Genomic DNA, 23,122 nt, shown 5'->3' on the forward strand with positions numbered 1-23,122 from the left:
GGAATTATACTGCATGAAAGTACACAAAAGGTTACATTCCATGGATGCCCATTCATATAACATTCTTGAAATGACAGAATTCTAGAGATGGCGAGCAGGTTAGCGGTTGCAGGGGTTTAGCAAAAGGGAGAGTAAGAGGGAAGTGGCTGTGGCTATGAAAGGGTAGTCTACAGGGTCTTTGAGATGGAAATGTTCTGAATCTTGACTGATGGTGACCACATGAATCTGAACATGTAATAAAAGAGTATAGAATGAGATACACAAACATACAAATTAGTGCAAGTAAAACTGGGGAAATCTGAACGAGGTCAGTGGATTAGATCAAGGTCTGTTTCTCTTCAGAATCTCAAATCTTAAAAGGTTTTGTATTTTCTAAACACAAATAAAAGCTGGAAAGCCAATCAGTAGTAATCTGAAAGTTCACAATGTCAGTAGACGTCTCATGGTATTGGGAAGAAAGATAAGCATTGAGGCTAATATCACCCTATGCTTGATTAAGTTTTTGTTTTATATGTTAAAATCACTAAACCGAAAGCTTAGTTGTTGTTCTCCCACAAATAAAATTAAGCCCTCATTTACTTTTAATTCAGTTCCAAATAGGTTTGCCATTTAGATTTTTGTCCAAGAACTAACTCCTCCCCACTCCCGGTTTTTGTTTGTTTGTTTTTTAAATTTATTTATTGAGACAGGTTCTCACTCTGTCACCCAAGCCACATGTAGCCTCAAACTCTTGAGCTGAAGCCATCCTCCCACCTCAGTCTCCCAAAGTGTTGGAATTACAAGCATGAACTACCACACACCTCCCACCTTTAATATATCTAAAATATAAATTCTCTTCTGCCTTAGAAAAAACAGGCTGGGCGCAGTAGCTCATGCCTGTAATCACAGCACTTTGGGAGGCCAAGGTGGGTGGATCACGAGGTCAGGAGATCGAGACCATCCTGGCTAACACTGTGAAACCCCGTCTCTACTAAAAAAAAAAAAATATATACAAAAAAAAAAAATTAGTTGGCATGCGCCTGTAGTTTCAGCTACTCCGGAGGCTGAGGCGGGAGAATCCCTTGAACCCAGTAGGCAGTGGTTACAGTGAGCCGCGATTGCGCCACTGCACTCCAGCCTGGGCGAGAGAGCTAGACTCCGTCTCGAAAAAGAAAAAACAAGCATTTGACTCTGTCTTTTAAGATTACCACTGGATTATCATATCTGAGGCATATACTAGTTATCATGTTCATTTCCAAGATTCTTTGCCCTCTGAATCTCCTGTGCTGCTATTGGAGTCTCTATATGGTTTACTACAGGACATTAGTCTGTCATCCACATGTCCCTAGGCACATGTCCCTGGACACACTCCTCCTGGAGTGGCAGGAATGACTAGTGACCTCCACCGACTTCCTCCCTGTCGCTTGCATGATTCCTCTGCTTCTACACCTTCCCCTGTCTACTCAAACTCCGGTTTATCTAGAAGATTATGAGTGCTTTTAAAAAGATCCAAGATAAAACTTCAAAAGAAGTGGCCCATAAAATCTATACTTTTCTCTTCCAAAAGGTGATGGCATCTCTCCTACAAAAGAGGATGTAATTCACTCAGATGTACAAGATGAACTGGTTCATTCTGCTTGTTACGTATGCATCTAATTAGTTTGAATCTATGCAGTACCACCACCTTAAGATGTTTCCAAAGGACAACTCTAAACTCTTACTATTAAAAAAAAAATGTTTTAAGTAGAAAGGAGTATTAAGTGAAATTTCAATATTGAATTCATTGCATAAGGCAAACATTAGATATAAGTGGGAAACATCTTAGAGGATTTTACTGTTTTACATTTTTTAGGTGAATAGCAACCTTAGATCATCTTACAAAATATGGTTACTGTCACAAAATAAAACTTGAAACTATATTCAGTCATTTAAAAAATGAACTCTTTATTTTAGCTGGACCAGCTATTCCTTCTGTTGTGGCGTATCCGAAAAGGAGTCAGACCAGCACTGCAGATAGTGACCTCAAAGAAGATGGAATTTCCTCCCGGAAATCAAGTGGCAGTGCTGTTGGAGGAAAGGGAATTGCTCCAGCCAGTCCCATGCTTGGGAATGCAAGTAATCCTAATAAGGCGGATATTCCTGAACGCAAGAAAAGCTCCACTGTCCCTAGTGTAAGTGTTGTTGAACTATAGAGTGGTCTTAGGGTGGTAGGGTTGGAACCAGCTAGACACCAGGTGTTCATTTTACTCCTGTGGTCTCTCGTACTGGAATGCCCTCTCTACTAGGCAGCCATGCCCAATCTTAACTTACAGAAATCCTACCTGCTGCATTGTAGGTATTTATTGTTGACACTCTCTTAGTTCATTCTTGCTGCTGTAACAAAATACCTGAGACTGGCTAATTTATAAAGAAAAGACATTTATTTCTTAACAATTCTGGAGGCTGAGAAGTCCAAGATGAAGGCACCAACAAGTTCCGTGTCTGGCAAGGGCCCTGTTCTCTGCTTCCAACATGATGCCTTGGTGCTGGCATCCTCCAGAGGAGACAAATGCTGTGTTGTCATGTGGCTGAAGGGACAGAAGGGGTGAACTCACCCCCTCAAGCCCTTCTATAAAACACTAATCTGGCCGGGTGCGGTGGCTCACGCCTGTAATCTCAGCACTTTGGGAGGCCGAGGTGGGTAGATCACGAGGTCAGGAGTTCAAGACCAGCCTGGCCAAGATGGTGAAACGCCATCTCTACTAAAAATACAAAAATTAGCTGGGCGTGGTGGCAGGCACCTGTAATCCCAGCTGCTCAGGAGGCTGAGGTAGAGAATTGCTTGAACTCAGGAGGCAGAGGTTACAGTGAGCCGAGATCGCATCACTGCACTCTAGCCTGGCGACAGAGCGAGACTCCTTCTCAAAAAAAAAAAAAAAGATACTAATCCCTTCATGAAGGCGGAGCCCTCGTGGCCTAAACACCTAAAAGACTCATCTCCAAATACTGTTTTCTCCTATGGGAGATAAAGCTTAAACATGAGTTTTGGAGGGGACACATTCAGAGCATAGCACACCCACCATAGACACTAGATGGTGATAGGTCCTTTATTTCAAGGCCTGGTTCCAGTTATTTCGGACACCTGCTGAGCCTTAGGTTGTCAGGTGCTGAGACATGGAAAGACCTCACAGTCTAACAGGAAGTGAATGAAAACAGTGACAGTGCAGATGGAAGCCTACGTGCACACACGGGGAGGTCTGACTGCCAGTGCCCCAAAGATGTGGTGTTCACACTGAGTCTTCAAAGAGCTCTAATGATGAAGAGTGTTGGCTGAGTTCTTACCATGTGCCAAGGACCATGCTCAGTGCTTTTTCATGGATTAGCTACATTTTAAGGTGAAAAAAAAGTTGGGTAATTGCCTAAAATTACACTGCCAACCTGAATCCAGCTCTTAATCCCTATCTGTAACAAAATCTCCCCAGTAAGTAGATAATATTTACTAAATTAAATTGAATCCATTCAGCTTCAGAAACTTTTTTCTGTGTATTGAAGTATGTTCTATCTAACCTAACATATTAAAGAATTTGCAGAGAAGTAAACAATCTTAAGATTATTCTGTAAGCACGTTTTTCCCTACAAAATTAACAATGATGCAGCCCTGCCTCCAACTCCAGAAAAACCCTGGACTGAGGAGGCTGTGGAGAAACCCTGTTGCTCTCTGAAAGCCCTTCATTGTTCCATTCTGGGGACTGGGTGCATGAAGGACCCCAAGGGGCTTTGCATGTTTCATCCTCTGACCTTATGCTTAGTCGAAGTAAACCCTGTGTGAAAAGTTTATTTTGGCCTCCAAATGCCATACAGTAGGATTATTGTTTCCATACTCCTGCAGTTAAAATTCCGTCTCCAACGTTTGTTGACAGTTACCAGAGAAGATGAGGGCATTATTCCCTGCCTTCATGACTTCTCTTCCCCTTTGCTCTTGTCTACACACGCTGCCCTTCTGAAAGTGAATCATGAGTATTTTCAGTCCACCCATACTAAATTACTTACAAAGGAAAAAAGGTAGTTAGCAACATTATTATTTTCTCCCATGAGTCTTTGGGATTTCTCTGTAGATGGTCTGCTCAAGCTGTAGTAAAAGTGACTGCTCTATCTTTGTTTAAAAATTATCTGATAAAATTCCATAGCTATGGCCAGGCACGGTGGCTCACACCCGTAATCCCTGCACTGTGGGAGGCCAAAGTGGGCGGATCACTTGAGGTCAGGAGTTCAAGAACAGCCTGGCCAACATGGTGAAATCCCATCTCTACTAAAAATACAAAAATTAGCCGGGTATAGTGGCGTGCTCCTGTAATCCTAGCTATTCGGGAGGCTGAGGCAGGAGAATTGCTTTAACCGAGAAGATGGAGGTTGCAGTGAGCTGAGATTGTGTCATTGCACTCCAGCCTGGGTAACAGAGCGAGACTCCATCTCAAAAAATAAAAAAAAAAGTCCATAGCTGTGACTTGTTCCTTGCTTTTTAGTTTTTTGTTTTGGAAGTTAAATTCATGTGAATCCACATGACAATGATTAACCATTTTAAAGTGGGCAATGCGGTGGCATTTGGTACACTCACAGTATTGTGCAGCCAACACCTGTCTTTAGTTTCAGAACTTTTTCAGCTCCCCAGAAGGAGCATCTGTTTAGGCTGGGCACAGTGGCTAACCCCTATAATCTCAGCGCTTTGGGAGGCTGAGGTGGGAGGATCACTTGAGCCCAAGAGTCTGAGATCAGCCTGGGCACCAGAGTGAGACCTCATCTCTACAAAAAAAATTAAAAAGAAAATAGCTGAGCGTGATGATGCACACCTGTAGTACCAGCTACTTGAGAGCTTGAGAGGCTCAGGTGGGAAGATCATTTCAGCCCAAGAGGTTGAGGCTGCAGTGAGTCATGGTCACATCACCATATTCCAGCCTGGGCAACAGAGCAAGACCCTGTCCTTAAAAAAAAAAAAAGTGGCCGGGCGCAGTGGCTCACGCCTGTAATCCCAGCACTTTGGGAGGCTGAAGTGGGCAGATCACAAGGTCAGGCGTTCAAGACCAGCCTGGCCATCATGGTGAAACCCCATCTCTACTAAAAATACAAAAATTAGCCAGGCATGGTGGCGGGCACCTGTAATCCCAGCTACTCGGGAGGCTAAGGCAGGAGAATCGATTGAACCCAGGACGCAGAAGTTGCAGTGAGCCGAGATGGTGCCACTGCACTCCAGCCTGGGCGAAAAAGCGAGGCTCCATCTCAAAAAAAAAAAAAAAAAGAACACCTGTATCCCTTAAGTAATCACTTTCCATTCCTCCTCTCCCCTCTGCCCCCCTCCCTTCCCCCTCATTCCCTGGCAACCACCAGTCTGTGTTCTGTCTCTGGATTTGCCTGTTCTGAATATTTTATATAAATGGAACCATTTCACATGTATCCTTTTGTGTCTACTTCTTTCTTTGACTCAGCATAATGTTTTCATGGTTCATCCAATTTGTAGCATGTATTTTCTTTTCCCTTTTTTTTTTTTTGAGATGGCATTTCGCTCCTGTTGCCCAGAGTGCAATGGCACGATCTTGGCTCACTGCAAACTCCACCTCCCGGGTTCAAGCGATTCTCCTGCCTCAGCCTCCTGAGTAGCTGGGATTACAGGCGTGCGCCACCATGCCTGGATAATTTTGTATTTTTAGTAGAGACGGGGTTTCTCCATGTTGGTCAGTCTGGTCTCGAACTCCCGACCTCAGGTGATCCACCCGCCTCGGCCTCCCAAAGCGCTGGGATTACAGGCGTGAGCCACTGTGCCCAGCCTGCAGCATGTATTAGTACTTTGTTTCTTTTGGGGGTAATATTCCATTCTGTATATATACTACAATTTAACTGTTCATCTGTTGATGGACATTTATATTATTTCCATGTATTGGTTAAAATGAATAATGCTACTATAAACAATTGTGTACAAATTTCTATGTGGACTTAAATGTTTTAATTTCTTTCCTTCTTTCTTGGGGAGGAGACGGTCTCACTCTGTCACCTAGGCTAAAGTACAATGGTGCAAACACGGCTCATTGCAACTTCGACCTCCCAGACCCAAGTGATCCTCCCACCTCAGCCTCCCAAATAGCTGATACCACAGGCATGCATCACCATGCCTGGCTTATTTTTTCTGTTTGTTTGTTGTGGTAGAGATGAGGTCTCCCTATGTAGCCCAGCCAGGCTGGTCTCAAACTCCTAGGCTCAAGCAGACATCCTGCCTCAGCCTCCCAAAGTGCTGGGATTATAGGTGTTAGCCTCTGCACCTGGCTGTGTTTTCATTTTTCCTGGGTATATATTTAGGAATAAAATTGTTGAGTAATATGGTAACTCCATGTTTAATTTTTTGAGAAACTGCCAAACTGTTTTCCTCACAACTGTACCATTTTATCCAGCAATAGTGAGAGTCCCTGTTTTCTTCACATTCTTTCTAACAATTAATAATTATTTTATTATTTAAAGCTTTCCTAGCAGGTATGAAGTAGTACCTCATGCTTTTGATTTGCATTTCTTTAATGACCAATGATATTGGGCATCTTTTCATGTGTTTCTTGGCCATACGTATAGCTTTTTTTTTTTTTTTTTTTTTGAGACTGAGTTTTGCTCTTGTTACACAGGCTGGAGTGCAATGGTGCGATCTCAGCTCACCGCAACCTCTACCTCCCAGGTTTAAGTGATTCTCCTACCTCAGCCTCCTGGCCTCCTGAGTAGCTGGGATTACAGGCATGCACCACCACAGCCAGCTAATTTTGTATTTTTAGCAGAGACGGGTTTTCTCCATGTTGGTCAGGCTGGTCTCGAACTCCTCACCTCAGGAGATCCGCCCACCTCTGCCTCCCAAAGTATTGGGATTACAGGTGTGAGCTACCGCGCCCAGCCGTTGTATAGCTTTTTTAAAGAAATATCTATTGAAGGTGCCGATTTTAAAATTAGGTTGTCAGGCCGGGCACCTCAGGAGGCTGAGGCAGGAGAATCGCTTGAACCCAGGAGGGGGAGGTTGCAGTGAGCCGAGATCGCACCGCTGCATTCCAGCATGGCGACAGAGCAACACTGCATCTCAAAAAAGAAAAAAAAAATTAGCCAAATGTGGTGGCACATGCCTGTATTCCCAGCTACTTGGGAGGCTGTGGTGGGAGGATTGCTTGATCCTGGGAGGCAGAGCCAAGATTGCTCCACTGCACTCCAGCCTGGGTGACAGAGTAAGACCTTGCCTCAAAAAACAAGTAAATAAAAGACTGACATTCCTATTTATGTAGATAAGTTCATTTTTTCTCATTGTACTGTATTTACCAAATAAATTTAAGACAAAAATGCCCTTTTTTATAGAGTAACACAGCATCTGGTGGAATGACACGACGAAATACTTATGTTTGCAGTGAGAGAACTACAGCTGATAGACACTCAGTGATTCAGAATGGCAAAGAAAACAGGTAGGAGATTCTACCTGTTTGTAAGAAAAGTTGTTTTTCCCAAGAGAAATGGAAGCATGTTATTTACTGCTTTGTTCTTATAATCATTTTCAAATTAAAACTGTAAGTATTCTCTGAAGGTAAGTTAAATTTGTATACTAATTTTTAGCAAGATACTAGAATTCTAAATTCTTTTTGTTGTCCAGAGCATCATCCTCCTGCCTGGCTGTGTATGATGATTAAAAGGCTTGAGTTAAACCCAGGGGGTTTCCTAGAGGAAGTAGATAGTAAGCTGTGGTTATGTTGTAGAACAGTGAATAAGGAAATGGAGATTGTCTTGTGCTCATTAATAACTTGAACAAAAGCCGAAAGTGGGGGAAGATAAGGACGTGAGGCAGAGAGTCATACCTCAGGAGAATGTACAGCACCAGGTAGCATTAAAGGTCCGCAGTTTACCAAAGGGTCCAGATGGCTGAGTCTAAATAGAAACACTGGAGAAGCCAAGAGAAGTGGAAAGTCCAGCCTTCTGAATGCTTTTAATTTGGCTACATAGCAAGCATACATAGGATGAGCGTGACTTTAAAAAGACAATGATGTTACATGTCAATAAGGAGAGCATCCTATCATGCACATGATTTTCTTGGGGTTTTGAAATAAAATAAGTAGAGTCAGTAAAATGGGATTGGATAGGTGTAGAGACTCTGAGGTGGGGTTAGTCTGGGTGGAGAGAAAAGAGAAGTTAGATTGGTAGAGAATAGCTAAATATGCTATATTCTGTTCAGAACAAATTTCCCAGGCTGGCATGGATTTTCCTTCTTTGTTTTTGGAAGAGCAGTAAGTGTACATCATTCTTTTAACTTGAACATTGTTTGCATCAGAATTGTTCTGACATTTACTTTCTGCAGTTACGGTGTGAGGTTCTGTTTCTTAATCCTAACCTATGTTTGATCTCATTAGTCAAACAAAATGTTTGATCACTACATTTTGTGACAGCCTAATCAAAAATTCTCTCCTCCTTCATCCTTAGTTCCAAACTGCTTATCACTTCCCTGTTCCATAGGCCACTTAGGATTGAGTTGATATGAGGAGTAACATTTGTTCTGTAAGATTATGGTTATTATTCGTTGAATTTTTAGCAATATTTACATTCTCTTGTTCTCTTTTATGACTCGTGTGTGTGTGTGTGTGTGTTTCAACATTGTCTTTTCTTATGATTAAAAACTACTAAGAACTTGAGTATAGCAGCTGGGGTAGATAGTTTACAGATAATGATTGATATAGGTATTTCTTTTTTTTTTTTTTTTTTTTTTTTTTTGAGACAGAGTCTCACTCTGTCACCCAGGCTGGAGTGCAGTGGCCTGATCTCGGCTCACTGCAAGCTCCGCCTCCCGGGTTCACGCCATTCTCCTGCCTCAGCCTCCCGAGTAGCTGGGACTACAGGCGCCTGCCACCACTCCCAGGTAATTTTTTGTATTTTTAGTAGAGACGGGGTTTCACCATGTTAGCCAGGATGGTCTCGATCTCCTGACCTTGTGATCCACCCACCTCGGCCTCCCAAAGTGCTGGGATTACAGGCGTGAGCCACCGTACCCAGCCAGGTATTTCTTAATAGTAGTCTACTCTCTGGTAGATTTGTATTATAGTTCAGTTCTTAACTTTCAAATTTCTTCTAGTTCAAAAGTGACTTAATAGAAAATATCAATAGAAGACTTAATTAGAAGTTTCTGGTGTTACAGATTGTAGTCTACAGGACTACAGAAATGTTTCATGGTCAGGCACAGTGGCTCACACCTGTAATCCCAGCACTCTGGGAGGCCAAGGCAGGTGGATCACTTGAGGTCAGGAGTTCGTGACCAGCCTGGCCAACATGGTGAAACCCCGTCTCTACTAAAAATACGAAAATTAACCATGTGTGGTGGCACGCGCCTGTAGTCCCAGCTACCAGGGAGACTGAGGCAGGAGAATTACTTGAACCCAGGAGGCAGAGTTTGCAGTGAGCTGAGATCGCGCCACTGCAGTCCAGCCTGGACAACAGAGCAAGACTCATCTAAAAAAAAAAAAAGTTGTTTCATTACCTTTACTACTTCTAAATTCTGAAAATGCACTACCCAGCTCCTTCTGAACTTTAGGATATGTGACTGTCTGAGGTGCAGAGTCAGTCTCCTCAAGGGTGTTAAGACTAAGATCTGCTCTCTGCTTCCATCCTGTGCTACACGTATCATACACCAGGCACATGCATATATGCCTGTGTCTTCTGATTCTCTTTTCCTAAAATTTTTCGTTTCACTCTTTGGAAATAATATTTAAGACTTCTTTAATTTCTTTGGCAATATTTCCTTTCTGCATTCCCCCTGGAGACACCTGCCTTGTTGGGGCCAACTCTTTCATATCCTGACCTGTCTCGTTGCTTCTCTTAGCATCAGTCATTGAAATACTTTGCTTCTGAAGGTGTCGTCTTTCTCTTTAGTCAAAGAGAGTCTCACCGCCAAACCTTAAAAGACAGGGCCCATTGTTTTAATAATATTTGGACTTTCCTTTCCTATCTTATAAATGAATTAAAAGACTGGAAAATTATTGGGTTTAACTTCTTTAGTTAAGGCACTAAATGTGACAGCTTTCCCTTAAAATTGATGCTTGAGTCTTCAGTGAGATACAATTAGCTTTCCCTGCACAGATGACTTCTTCGGCAAATTGTTCCTTTTCCCTCTCTTCACCCACCCATATATCTTATTTCTTCACTAATTTAAAATATGAGTGAGCTGTAGGATGCCTGGACCTATGTTAACTTCTGAAACAAACATGTTAAGTTCCAATTTTAGCCTTAAATATTTTCGACATTTAGCCTTAAATGTTTTCTTCTTTATATGAGTGTTCATACGGAATTTCAACATGAGAATAATGATGGCTGATTTTTTAAAAACTGTGTGAAGGTTTAAACCAGAGACTCCACATATCTTAAGCCCTTACTACCTTCAAAATCCTACTGTAAACAGGATATTTTAAAGGCTTACTAAATGCAAGGCTTTTTCTCGTCATAGGCAATATAATTAATTTTAATTATTTTTTCTTTTGAAAATTAGTTTTATTAATTGGTTCTTACTAGGCCAATCTTTGTTTTATCAGCTTTCCTGTGGGAACAATAAAGTTAATGACACAGGGAGCATAGGTTAGGGCCAGTTGTTACTTTGGCACAAACACCTGTGATTCGTTTTCTGAGACTAGTTTTAAACTGGTCGTGCTGAAGGCCAGCCCACTTTCTGCTGTAATTATTCTGCCTTCTGATGTTATTCTCGAAAAATGGCCAGATTCCAGGCGTGACTAATGGTTGGTGTAAACTAGGCATGAGAAGGTTTGATTACACCTTCAATTGTATGATTCTATCATGATGGTATAGGTTTGCAGTGAGTCTTAAACCACATAGCACTGACACGTAGTGAGTGCTCAAACAAATGTTAGCTTTCATTATTAATTATAGACTGTTCAGACAAGGTTATGCAGAATTTTCTTAGTTTGCACTGACTAAACCTAATCTTTCAAGTTAATAATGTTGCTAAACCACCTACATAGCAGAGACACTCTGCTCCTACGATTTCATATGCTTTAGATACCCGGACGACACTGTTTAGACTACTTCATTTAAAGACCCCAGAGAAGTGACGTGCTGGTGTTACAGTAATGCAAACAGAATCTTTTCTTTTTTTTTTTTCTTTTTTTCTTTTTTTTTCTGCGATGGAGTCTCGCTCTTTTACCCAGGCTAGAGTGCAATGGCACGATCTCGGGTCACTGCAACCTCCATCTCCCGGGTTCATGCAGTTCTTCTGCCTCAGCCTCCCAGTAGCTGGGATTACAGGCACACACCACCACACCTGGCTGATTTTTGTATTTTTAATAGAAATGGGGTTTCACTAGGCCAGGCTGGTCTCAAATTCCTGACTTCAAGTGATCCACCTGCCTTGGCCTCCCAAAGTGCTGTGATTACAGGCATGAGCCACTGCACCAGGCCCAGAATCTTTCAAATAAATTTTAGATATTGGATATTACTGTAAAGTTTCAAAATTGTGAAGTGGCTTATTATTTTATCCACTTTACCCTGCATCAAGTCACATAGAGATTGAGCAGAGAAGGATTGAGGACACTTAGCGTATGTATCTTTGGACTACATATAAAAGTTGCTTTTTTTAGGCTGGGCGCGGTGGCTCCCACCTGTAATCCCAGCATTTTAGGAGGCTGAGGCAGGTGGATCATGAGGTCAGGAGATCAAGACCATCCTGACCAACATGGTGAAACCCTGTCTAAAATTAATTAGCTGGGCGTGGTGGCATGCGCCTGTAGTCCCAGCTACTTGGGAAGCTGAGGCAGGAGAATCACTTGAACCCAGGAGGCAGAGGTTGCAGTGAGCCGAGATAGCGCCACTGCACTCCAGCCTGGCAACAGAGCAAGACTCTGTCTCAAAAACAAAAAAAAAGGGCTGAGCACAGTGGCTTACGCCTGTAATCCCAGCACTTTGCGAAGCTGAGGTGGGCGGATCACCTGAGGTCAGGAGTTTGAGACCAGCCTGACCAACATGGAGAAACCCCATCTCTACTAAAAATACAAAAAAAAAAAAAAAAATTAGCCAGGCATGGTGGCGCATGCCTATAATCCCAGCTACTTGGGAGGCCGAGGCAGGAGAATCGCTTGAACCCAGGAGGCAGAGGTTGCGGTGAGCCAAGATTGCACCATTGCACTCCAGCCTGGGCAACAAGAGCAAAACCCCATCTCAAAGAAAAAAAAAAAAGGCTGCTTTTTTTTTTTTTTTTTTTTTTTTAAGATGGATGGAGTCTTGCAGTGTGGCCCAGGCTGCAGTACAGTGGCTAGTCACAGACATGATCATAGTGTACTGTAGCCTTGAACTCCTGGGCTCAAATGATCCTCCTGTGTTGGCTTCTTGAGTAGCTGGGACTACAGGCATGGACCACCACACCTGGCTAATTTTTTATTTTTTGTAGAGATGAAGTCTTCCCATGTTACCCAGGCTGGTCTCAAATTCCTGGCCTCAAGGGATCCTCCAGTCTCAGCCTTCCAAAACACTAGGTTTACAGGCATGAGCCACCATGCCTGTCCTTGGACTATATTTTTAATTCTGCTTTTGCCCAGTCACTTGAGTATGCTTTTAATCAGCAGCCAATACATTTCTTATCAGAATGTTCTGATAGGGGCTAGAGGTCATAGCAACAAATTCAAAGTGCCTATCCTTTAGTAACCTTAAGTGGATTAATGTTTTAGAAAAGATAGTCAAGACTGGGCACAGTGGCTCACAAGCCCTGTCATCCCAGCACTTCGGGAGGCCTAGACAGGAAGATCACTTGAGGCCAAGAGTTCAAGGTCAGCCTGGACAAAGTAGCCTGAGACCCCCGTCTCTATAAAAATATATATATTTTTTAATTTTAAAAGATAGTCATGAATACAAAACAGTTGGGAAGATTAATAGGAACTCTCTTCATGCAACTTGAATTTTAAGAAAAACATTGCTATTTCTATCAATTAAGGTTTAAATGTAGACCAGGCATGATGGCTCACGCCACCATGTAATCCCAGCACTTTGGGAGGCCATGACAGGAGGATTGCTTGAACCCAGGAGTTCAAGACCAGCCTGGGCAACATGGTAAAATTCCATCTCTACCAAAAATACAAAAAAATTAGCTGGGTGCCAGGCACAGTGCCTCACACCTATAATCCCAGCACTTTGGGAGGCCGAGGCAAGTGCATCACCTGGGGTCGGGAGTTCAAGACCAGCCTGGCCAACATGGTGAAACCCCATCTCTACTAAAAATACAAAAATTAGCTAGGTGTGGTGGTACATGCCGGTAGTCCCAGCTATTTGGGAGGCTGAGGCAGGAGGATGGTTTGAGCCTGGGAGATGGAGGTTGTAGTGAGCCGAGATCACACCATTGTATTCCAGCCTGGACGGTAGAGCCAGACCCAGTCTCAAAAAAATAAAAATAAAAAAATTAATGTAATACAGCTACTATGAACCCACAAAAACTTTAAAAAAATTTTTTAATTATTAAAAAAATGTAATGCTGCTACTGTTTTGCTTATGTAGATTGTGGGCTAGAATAGGAAATAAAACTATCATTTTTAACACTTTTCTGGGGGGAAATATTATTCGAATTTCATAACAATTAGCTTGATGACCTTTTAGAATATATATGTAGACCATTGTGATGTTGGGGCTGCCTGTTGTAAATAGGATTTTTGTGAGCTTGATTGTACAAAATTGAAATTTGCAAACATCTTACTGAGTTTACTGTTTCCTTCTGGGTGTTAGGCCTACTGTAGAAATCAGAAAAATCGGAAATATTTTGTTGCTTGCTTTGTGAAACTCATGATGTGACATGGATTAAATTTCTAAAAAGTTTATTTAATTGCCTTTAAAATTAGTATGTCAAAAAGTTTATTTATTTATTTATTTATTTATTTTAATTTGAAACAGTCTCTCTCTGTCACCCAGACTGGAGTTTAGTGGCATGATCTCAGCTCACTGCAGCTACCACCCCCGGGTTTAAACGATTCTTATACCTCAGCCTCCTGAGTAGCTAGGATTACAGGGGCCCGCCACCACACCCAACTAATTTTTGTATTTTTAGTAGTGATGGGTTTTTGCCATGTTGGCCAGGCTGGTCTGGAACTCCTGGCCTCAAGCAATCCACCCGCCTCAGCCTCCCAAAGTGCTGGGATTACAGGCGTGGGCCACCACGCCCAGCCTCAAGTTAATAATTTATAATCCCAGCACTTTGGGAGGCCAAGACGGGCGGATTGCCTAAGCTCAGGAGTTCCAGACCAGCCTGGGCCATGACGAAACCCTATCTCTACAAAATTTTTTTTTTTAATTTATAATGAGAAAATAAATTTACATTTCCTTCTTAGGTCTCTAGAGGATCCATTTTTTTTCTGCAAAGCATCTGTCCACACCCTCTTACCATGCTTGTATGCCTTAAAGATCTAGCTTGGCCTGTCAGCAGTGTGCTTCATTGGGAATCGATGCAGCACCCTCCTGCCTGCAAGCTGACTAAAAGCCTTTTCCTTCTCCAAAGACTTTGGGACCATTTGTATTCACCAGGGAAAGGGTCAAACAACTCCTGCATCTTCTTCCCCTGCTTTTCTTGGCACATCTACTGATACTAGCTCCTAATTTGGGCAAGAAAAAAGTCAACAACTGGAGGTAGAGTGTGTTGACCCTGGACTCACCCTGAAAGGTAAGGGCACAAGAGATAGTTGTATTTAGCTGTATCTTGTTAGAAAAATACATTTGTGTAGCCAGGCGCGGTGGCTCACACCTGTAATCCCAGCACTTTGGGAGGCTGAGCCGGGTGGATCACGAGGTCAGGAGTTCAAGACCACCCTGGCTAACATGGTGAAATCCCGTCTCTACGAAAAATACAAAAAATTAGCCGGGCGTGGTGGTGGGTGCCTGTAGTCCCAGCTACTTGGGAGACTGAGGCAGGAGAATGGCGTGAACCCAGGAGGCAGAGCTTGCAGTGAGCAGAGATCACACTGCACTCCAGCCTGGGCGACAGAGTGAGACTCCGTCTCAAAAAAAAAAAAATAAATAACATTTGTGTGCATTCATGTGTACGTGTGTCTGTACACATGTACAAGAAACAACCGAGCATTTCTTTAAAAACCTTAGTCAGTTAGAACTGTCTCTGTTGCAGGTGACAGAAAACCCAGTCTAAACAGGCTTAAATATAAAAGGGCTGTTAGTTCATATAACTAAAAAAAGTCCAGGGCTAGAGTTACGGTCCATCTGCTTCTGCCTCCTTGGCCGTAGTTCCATGATTGGGCTCGGCACCATCAGACATAACTTCTTCCCACACACAGCTGTGCTCAAGCAGAAGCCCTCAGGTGGTCTCCTTGATCTGTGTGGGGCCTAGAGTTACTTCCACCACAGCAAAATCTCATTATTGTTGCTGCAGGAAAAGAATGGATACTGAGTGGCAGAAATACGAAACTGGATAAATTTTTGCCTTTATAAGACATTTGTTTCCAGTCCTTCTCAGACTGTATAAATTCTCCCAAGTCAGAGAGCAGAATTCTCAAACAAAAATGCAGGGACAGAACCAGGCACAGTGGCTCACAAGGCCTATAATCCCAGCACTTTGGGAGGCTGAGGCAGAAGGATCAGTTGAACCCAGGAGTTCAAGACCAGCCTAGCCATCATAGTGAGACACCATCTCTACAAAAAATTTAAAAATTAGCCAGGCATAGTGGCACACTCCTGTGGCTGAGATAGGAGGATCGCTTGACCCCAGGAGGTTGAGGCTGCAGCAAGCTGTGATAGTGCCACTGCACTCTAGCCTGGGTGAATACAGCAAGACCCTGTCTCCAAAAATAAAAATTTAAATAAAAATGTTTTAATTCAGGGACAAGCAGTTCTTGATTTTAAAGACGTATCTGCTTTATGTTGGGGCTATCAGAATTCCAGTTGCTAATTGATTAATCTGCTCTGTTAGGAGAACGTTTGTTGAATACCTGCCCTGCCAGGCTTTCTGCTTACACTGGTGGGGGGCACATTGACAAGATTTTGGGCTGTGTTTTCAGGGACCTCCAGCAGAGAAGGGTCACTAGGATACAATGTGGCATGCATGAGCTAAAAACAGAAGTGATTTAACTCTCAGAGGGAAAATGGATCAGATAACACTTCATAGAGATGACGACATCTGGTTCATTTTTGAAGAGTGAATAGAAAGATCCCAGCCCTCCATACCAAGAGAATAACTCCTGCAAACATTTTCTGACCTGGTGCCTGACCAATGGACCACACATCATCAGGAAGGCTAGAAAGTTGAGTTCCAGGAGGGAATGATAGAAGGCAAAGCCTAGAGAGATGGCAGGGGCCAGACTTCAGGGGCCTGGGGATGTGTACTTGCACTCCAAGTCGAGGAGACTGAACTTTTTACCAAAGACTTGGTGTTCTGTAGAAGTATGAGCAGATGAGTGACAAGATCTGGTTTATATGTTAAGAAGTTCTCAGCTGTAAGGTGAATAGATTGGAGGTGTTGGGGCAAAGGCAGGGGACCCAGTGAAGACAAGGAGCGAGGCTCTATACTGAGGCCCTGGTAGAAGTGGAGCAGATGGGCCACCTGAAGAGCTACTAGGAAGTTGACACCAATAAGATGTCGTTAGTCTGTGTATGGGGAGTGAGGGAAAGGAAGAACTTGCCAGTTTCCAGGTTTTAATCCTTCCAAAGGATTTCTGCAGAAAGACACTGGAAGAGCTGTATTCCTACTTATCCTTAAAGGAAAGAAACTGCCCTTGAATTCCAAGGACATGATTACTGAGCTGGAATTCCAAATAATGTGTCCCAGTGAGACTCCTGGGGGTAGTTTTGTCCGGTAACTGTGTGTGTTAGATGAAACTGCAGACTTCCAGCCACTCTATCTTACCATGTCTGTTAACAGTTAATTTGCTCTGATGAATTTGCCCATCTTGGAGAAGGGGGCTCTGCTGACTGTTTTTTATCTTGGAGTAAATGTCCTTTGATTAGGAAGGTTCTAGACTATATTGTTAAAACAACATTGGAAGGCTGGGCATGGTGGCTCATGCCTGTAATCCCAACACTTTGGGAGGCCAAGGCAGGCGTATCGTTTGAGCCCAGGAGTTCAAGACCAGCCTGGGCAACATGACAAAACTCTCTCTACTAAAAATACAAAATTAGCCAGGCATGGTGGAGTGCGCCTGTATTCCCAGCCACTTAGGAGGCTGAGGTGGGAGAACCACCTGAGCCCAGGAAGTTGAGGCTGCATTGAGCCATGATCGTACCACTGCACTGCAGCTAGGTGACAGCAAAACCCTGTCTCAAAAAAACACCAAACAACATAGGATACTGTTATATAACAGCTAGTTCCTATACCTGTAATCTTATTAATTCATTTAAAATACATCAGTGCGGGCCGGGTGTGGTGGCTCACACTTATAATCCCAACACTTTGGAAGGCCAAGGCGGGAGGATCACTTGAAGCCACAAATTTAAGACCAGCCTGGATAATATAGCGAGACCCTGTCTCTACAAAAAAAATAAATAAAGAAAAAATAAAATATGTCAGTGTGTTTTGGGAACAGGTTGAGAGCATAGCATGCTCATATTATATATTCATTTTACCACTTAGATTTGAATTGAGGCATCTCTTAGAATAGGTTTTATTTTGTGCATACCCTCAGAGGACATTGTCCCTCTCATAGAAACAGATATTCAAACATGTAATCTGCTATTTTATTTTAAGGTAATAGATTTTTATGATTACTGTTTGGAAAAAAAAAAAAGCAACTATAGGTTAGCAGTTGCTCCAGAATCTCCAAAACAAGCTTAGGAGATTTTTATTCTTTACCAGAAATGAGATGGCTTGGGAGGAAGGTGTGTGCATTACACACAGGTTGCTCTGTGGTCACTGCTCCTTCATACTGTGTTTCTGCCTCTGCCTGAACCCAAACCCCTCCCAGCCTGACAGAAATGTTCGCTTACGCAGCTAGCCCTGCCTCAGTTTGTACATCTACCTGTCGGCTGAGACATCAGAAGTCGATGTCCATGTCAGCCTCTGGGCACCCCAAGATGATGTTACCTCCAATAGACAGTGAAGGAGATAACTTCAAGGCTATGTAAGAAAAATGCACATTCTTTGTGAAACTAATGTGTACCCACTGCTTCTTAATTTTGTGCTGTGGATTTTATAGTCTGAGATTTTGTTACAGTTGTCCACAAGGCGTCCTTCCTCCATGTGATTTTAGTTAAGCACATCTTTTGTCATGATGTCCTCGGTTGTGTATTGTGTGTCTTCGTGCCTTCGCGTACTACAAAATGTATAAGAAGTTCCTGCTCCTCCCAAGTTGCTTTCAGCATGTGGAATTTTATACATATATCATTTGTTTACTTCCAAAACTTTTTAGTTGCCTGTTCTTCAGTTACGCCAGCATATCCTTTATTTCTTTCGTATTGGCACAGTTCTCTATGTAAGCAATTTGAGAGGGAAGCAAAGGGGAAAAGTTTGAGTTAGCTGTTCTCTGTCCTAGAATTTCCCTGCATTAATCTTGTCCTTGAAAATATATATAATACTGGTCCCTTAAACTCCATGAGGCTTTGTCTCATTATGTATTGTTCTTTTGGTACCCTTTCCCACTTAACTTACCTTTTGCTCCTAAGTCCTATAAAATACCCCTTGGATCTGGATTTTTTATACCCGATTTTCTCCACTGTGTATAAAAGGTATATTGTGACTGTAAATTTTTGTATATCATGTTCTGAGAGCTTCTTACTTTCTGATCTCATAGCACTATTCCTGATCAGAGAACTCCAGTTGCTTCAACACACAGTATCAGTAGTGCAGCCACCCCAGATCGAATCCGCTTCCCAAGAGGCACTGCCAGTCGTAGCACTTTCCACGGCCAGCCCCGGGAACGGCGAACCGCAACATATAATGGCCCTCCTGCCTCTCCCAGCCTGTCCCATGAAGCCACACCATTGTCCCAGACTCGAAGCCGAGGCTCCACTAATCTCTTTAGTAAATTAACTTCAAAACTCACAAGGAGGTAAGTGCTAGGTGCTGGTTGTTTTGGAGTGAACACATAGAGCAAAAGGAAAGATGTCTTTTTTGTTGTGTGAAGCCACTGCTACCTGGATGCTTTTCAGTCTGCCTTCAGCTCATGGTTTTCTGGTTTTATATATATCTAACTTTATACTTTAAAACCTTTAAAGTAGAAATTGTAGAGCTCAGAGTCTTCATAACACTAAAAGTTAACTAGCATTTAGGAGGTTTTTGTTACTGTTCTTTAATTATTGTTCCTTTTGCTCACGTATCTGTCTGCATGGCATGTTCGTTGTTGTTGAGCAGGCAGACCTCGAGTTCTGGTGTGGGGTGGGGGGCTGGCACTCTGTAACAATCAGCAGGAAAGACCATGCATGTCTTTCATAATCATCTCCAGCCCCAGAGGAAAGAGACAGCTTCTCTTTTCTCACTTTATTGTTGTTAAGGAGCAGTAAATTTCTTAAGAGTCCAAATCTTGAAAGTTTCTCTCTCAGTCTTAGTAATTTATATTGAGAGCAAGGTAATGTCCTTAAATGGTATAGTTTTGGAGATAAAATCTCTGGTTTATTATCAAAAAATAATGTTACTATTATTAAGTTATTTTTATTAAATGCTGCATGATTCTTGGCTGATGGTCCTGGAAATTTTTTAAAATGTTCCATGTGTCTAGTAGGCTAGCATCTGGGGCCTCAGTAAACTCTCAAGGGTCCTTTGAGATTAACTTCATTTCCGTAACCTTGTTACCTGTTACAAAAGCCCAGAAATACTGGCTGCTTCAAGAGGAAAAAGAAAGGATACCACTTTGAACCGTAAACAATAGTGAAAGGCACCTTTCCGAGAAGGAGCCCAGGAAACCCAAGAGCCCCTGCAGTTTCAGGACATCCTTGGAGAAATGTTTTGAAATTAAGCCTAGCTGTGGATGAGTCTGTCTGTGGTATCTTGCAGGTTTGCCTAGGACGGACCCTCTTATTTGTCATCTGTAGCTTACAGGACAGCAGTAGGAGTCTTTCCCGAGTCTGAAATGATCAGTACCCTCCTCTGTTTTTCTGCATTCCCTATGGCCTATAGCCTATTACTTCATTTCACTCCATCTCCATTATTTAAACTAAGCTAAATGTAATCTTGTATTCGATCATCTGAAACTTCGGTGAGTCACATTAAAGTCTGATCTACTTATTATTAGGACATGGAATAGATTAGGGAGTATTCCTTTTTTTTTTTTTTTTAATTTTTTTTTTTTTTTTGAGACGGAGTCTCACTGTCGCCAAGGCTGGAGTGCAGTGGTGCAATCTTGGCTAACTTCAACCTCCGCCTAGATTAGGGAGGATCTCTGACATCCATTAGCATTAACTAGAAGTCAGACGCATCAGAAGGTTTCTATTTACCCTCTTACTCACTTCTTAGCCCCTTTATTAAGCCACCTCATTTTAAACTGGGCAAAACAGAATCAGCCAAAGAGCTTTGCCAGGTTTGGGACACCCATTCATGACCAGCCAGCAAGAGAGACAGTGAGTTCAATCTGAGAAGAGTCTGGTGACTCCCAGAATAAACCATTCCTTCCTGGCCAGCCGTGGTGGTTCATGCTTGTAATCCCAGCACTTTGGGAGGCCAAGGCGGGTGGATCTCCTGAAGTCAGGAGTTTGAGACCAGCCTGACCAATATGGTGAAACCCCATCTCTACTAAAAATACAAAAATTAGCCAGGCATGGTGGTGGGCGCCTGGAGTCCCAGCTACCCAGGAGGCTGAGACAGGAGAATTGCTTGAACCCGGAAGGCAGAGGTTGCAGTGAGCCGAGATCGTACCACTGCACTCTAGTCTGGGTGACAAAGTGAGACTGTGTCTCAAAAAAAAAAAAAAAAAAACTTTGAGTTTATTTTTCTTCTTTGTACTCTTTTTTCAGTCATTTTAAGACTAGTATTGGGCTGGGCCGGATGGCTCATGCCTGTAATCTCAGCACTTTGGGAGGCCAAGAGGGGCGGATCACCTGGGGTCAGGAGTTTGAGACAGGCCTGGCCAACATGGCAAAACCCCATCTCTACTAAAAATACAAAAATTAGCCAGGGGTGGTGGCGCTCGCCTGTAGTCCCAGCTACTCTGGAGGCTGAGCCAGGAGAATCGCTTGAACCTGGGAGGCGGAGGTTGCATCTAGCCAAGATCGCGCCGCTGCACTCCAGCCTGGGTGATGACAGAGCGAGACTCCATCTCAAAAAAAAAAAAAAAAAAAGACTAGCATTGATTGGCCAGGCATGGTGGCTCACGCCTGTAATCCCAGCACTTTGGGAGGCCGAGGCAGGTGGATCACCTGAGGTCGGGAATTTGAGACCATCCTAGCCAACATGGAGAAACCCAGTCTCTACTAAAAATACAAAATTAGCCGGGCATGGTGGCACATGCCTGTAATCCCAGGGAGACTGAGGCAGGAGAATCACTTGAACCTGGGAGGCAGAGGTTGTGGTGAGCCGAGGTCACGCCATTGCACTCCAGCCTGGGCAACAACAGTGAAACTCTGTCTCAAAAAAAAAAAAAAAAAAAAAGACTAGCATTGATTTTATTACATGTATATAATGGAAAAAAGGAAACAAGATTATCATTGATAAAAATATCAGCTACCTCTTTTTTTTTCCCCACAGAGTCTCACTTTATCGCCCAGGCTGGAGTGCAGTGGCATGATCTCAGCCCATGGCAATCTTCGCCTTCCAGGTTCAAGTGATTCCTGTGCTTCAGCCTCCCGAGTGGCTGGGACTACAGGCGCCCACCATCGCGCCTGGCTAATTTTTGTATTTTTAGTAGAGACCCGGTTTTATCATGTTGGCCAGGCTGGTCTTGAACTGCTGACCTCAAGTGATCCACCGCGCCCAGCCAAAGCTACCATTATTTGAATGCTTATTATGTGCTAAGGTAGATGTCTATATACATAGATACAGTCATATTCATTTTATACATATAAATATGTATGTACATTATATATATGCATATTTTATGTATAAAATGAGTATCATATATATACACTTATATGTGTGAAATGAGTATATTTATACACATGTACAAGTGTGCACACACACTCATTTAATTTAATCTCCATAGTCCACCCCATTTTGTAAAAGAAACTGAAGGTGAAGTTTGGAGAGATTAAGGCACATATTTTAAAAAGTATCAGGGCCTGGTGCAGTGGCTTACGCCTGTAATCCCAGCACTTTGGGAGGCCAAGGCAGGTAGATCAGGTAGATCACTCAAGGTCAGGAGTTCAAGACCAGCCTGGCCAACATGGTGAAACCCCATCTCTACTAAAAATACAAAAATTAGCTTGATGTTGTGGCACATGCTTGTAATTCCAGCTATTTGGAAGGGTGAGGCAAGAGGATGGCTTGAACCCAGGAGGCGTAGGTTGCAGAGAGCCAAGATCACACCATTGCACTCCAGCCTGGCGACAGATTGACACTCCATCTCAAAAAAAAAAAAAAGTATCAGGCTGAGCCAGGTCTATCTGACCAGACTCTGCCCTTTTAGCCACTACACTGTGCTCCCTTTAGAAAAAACAGTTGCAGGCGTGACAGTTGCATTACATTTATTTCATATATTTGAATTAAAATTGGAGACTCAGGCTTGTTGTTTAAAAAAATTCTAAGTGGTCATCTTGTTTACAATTTCCAGGCTATTTCCACACCCCCAGATTTTTGCAGAAAGATAGTCTTTTATCCTGTCTTGTTAAAGTTTATTAACTGAGGTCTGTTGTCTCCCTTAGTGCTATACTTAATCAGCTACTGACAGTTTGTTCTTAAAAACAATCAAAATCCTTGCTAGAGTGGTTGAAAGTTCTTATCCTCCTTTAGCAATAATTGGTAGGATTAAAATTGCATTGCCTGAAAGGCTGAGGTGTTTGCACTTAGATGCTGCAAGGGAGACCTGGTGTGGCCAGGTCTGGAGAGGGCTGCAGTCAGGAAGCCTGCACTCTGCTTGGAGAGCACATGGCTTTGGAGAGCTATGGGCTATTTGTAGTCGGGAGCAAAACTCTCTCTCCTTAGGATCAGGCCTGGCCTTGCTCAGAGACTGCAGAGTCACCCATACCCTGCAGGCAGAACAGCCAGGCACACGCAAGTGCCTCTGCCCTCAGGTTGATCCATGTTGCCATGGGCAGTGTGAAGGCCTCCTCC

General features: G+C 42.9%; 1 protein-coding gene across 38 annotated transcripts in view; it reads left to right on the plus strand.

Moving 5' to 3' along the window:
• The window catches only part of MARK3 (microtubule affinity regulating kinase 3), a 118,417-nt gene that overhangs the window by 87,646 nt on the left and 7,649 nt on the right, over positions 1–23,122 (plus strand). For 35 of the 38 annotated variants that reach the window (NM_001128918.3, XM_005267641.6, NM_001128919.3 and 32 more), the window contains 3 exons: positions 1,933–2,150; positions 7,327–7,430; positions 18,717–18,974. In NM_001128918.3, the coding sequence (NP_001122390.2) occupies positions 1,933–2,150; positions 7,327–7,430; positions 18,717–18,974 (580 nt within the window). The remainder of the gene's footprint in view (positions 1–1,932; positions 2,151–7,326; positions 7,431–18,716; positions 18,975–23,122) is intronic. The other 3 variants (NM_001437351.1, XM_047431391.1, XM_047431392.1) reach the window with 1 other exon arrangement.

This window comes from Homo sapiens, chromosome 14 (genome assembly GCF_000001405.40).
Source record: "Homo sapiens chromosome 14, GRCh38.p14 Primary Assembly".
NCBI classification, from domain to species: domain Eukaryota; kingdom Metazoa; phylum Chordata; class Mammalia; order Primates; family Hominidae; genus Homo; species Homo sapiens.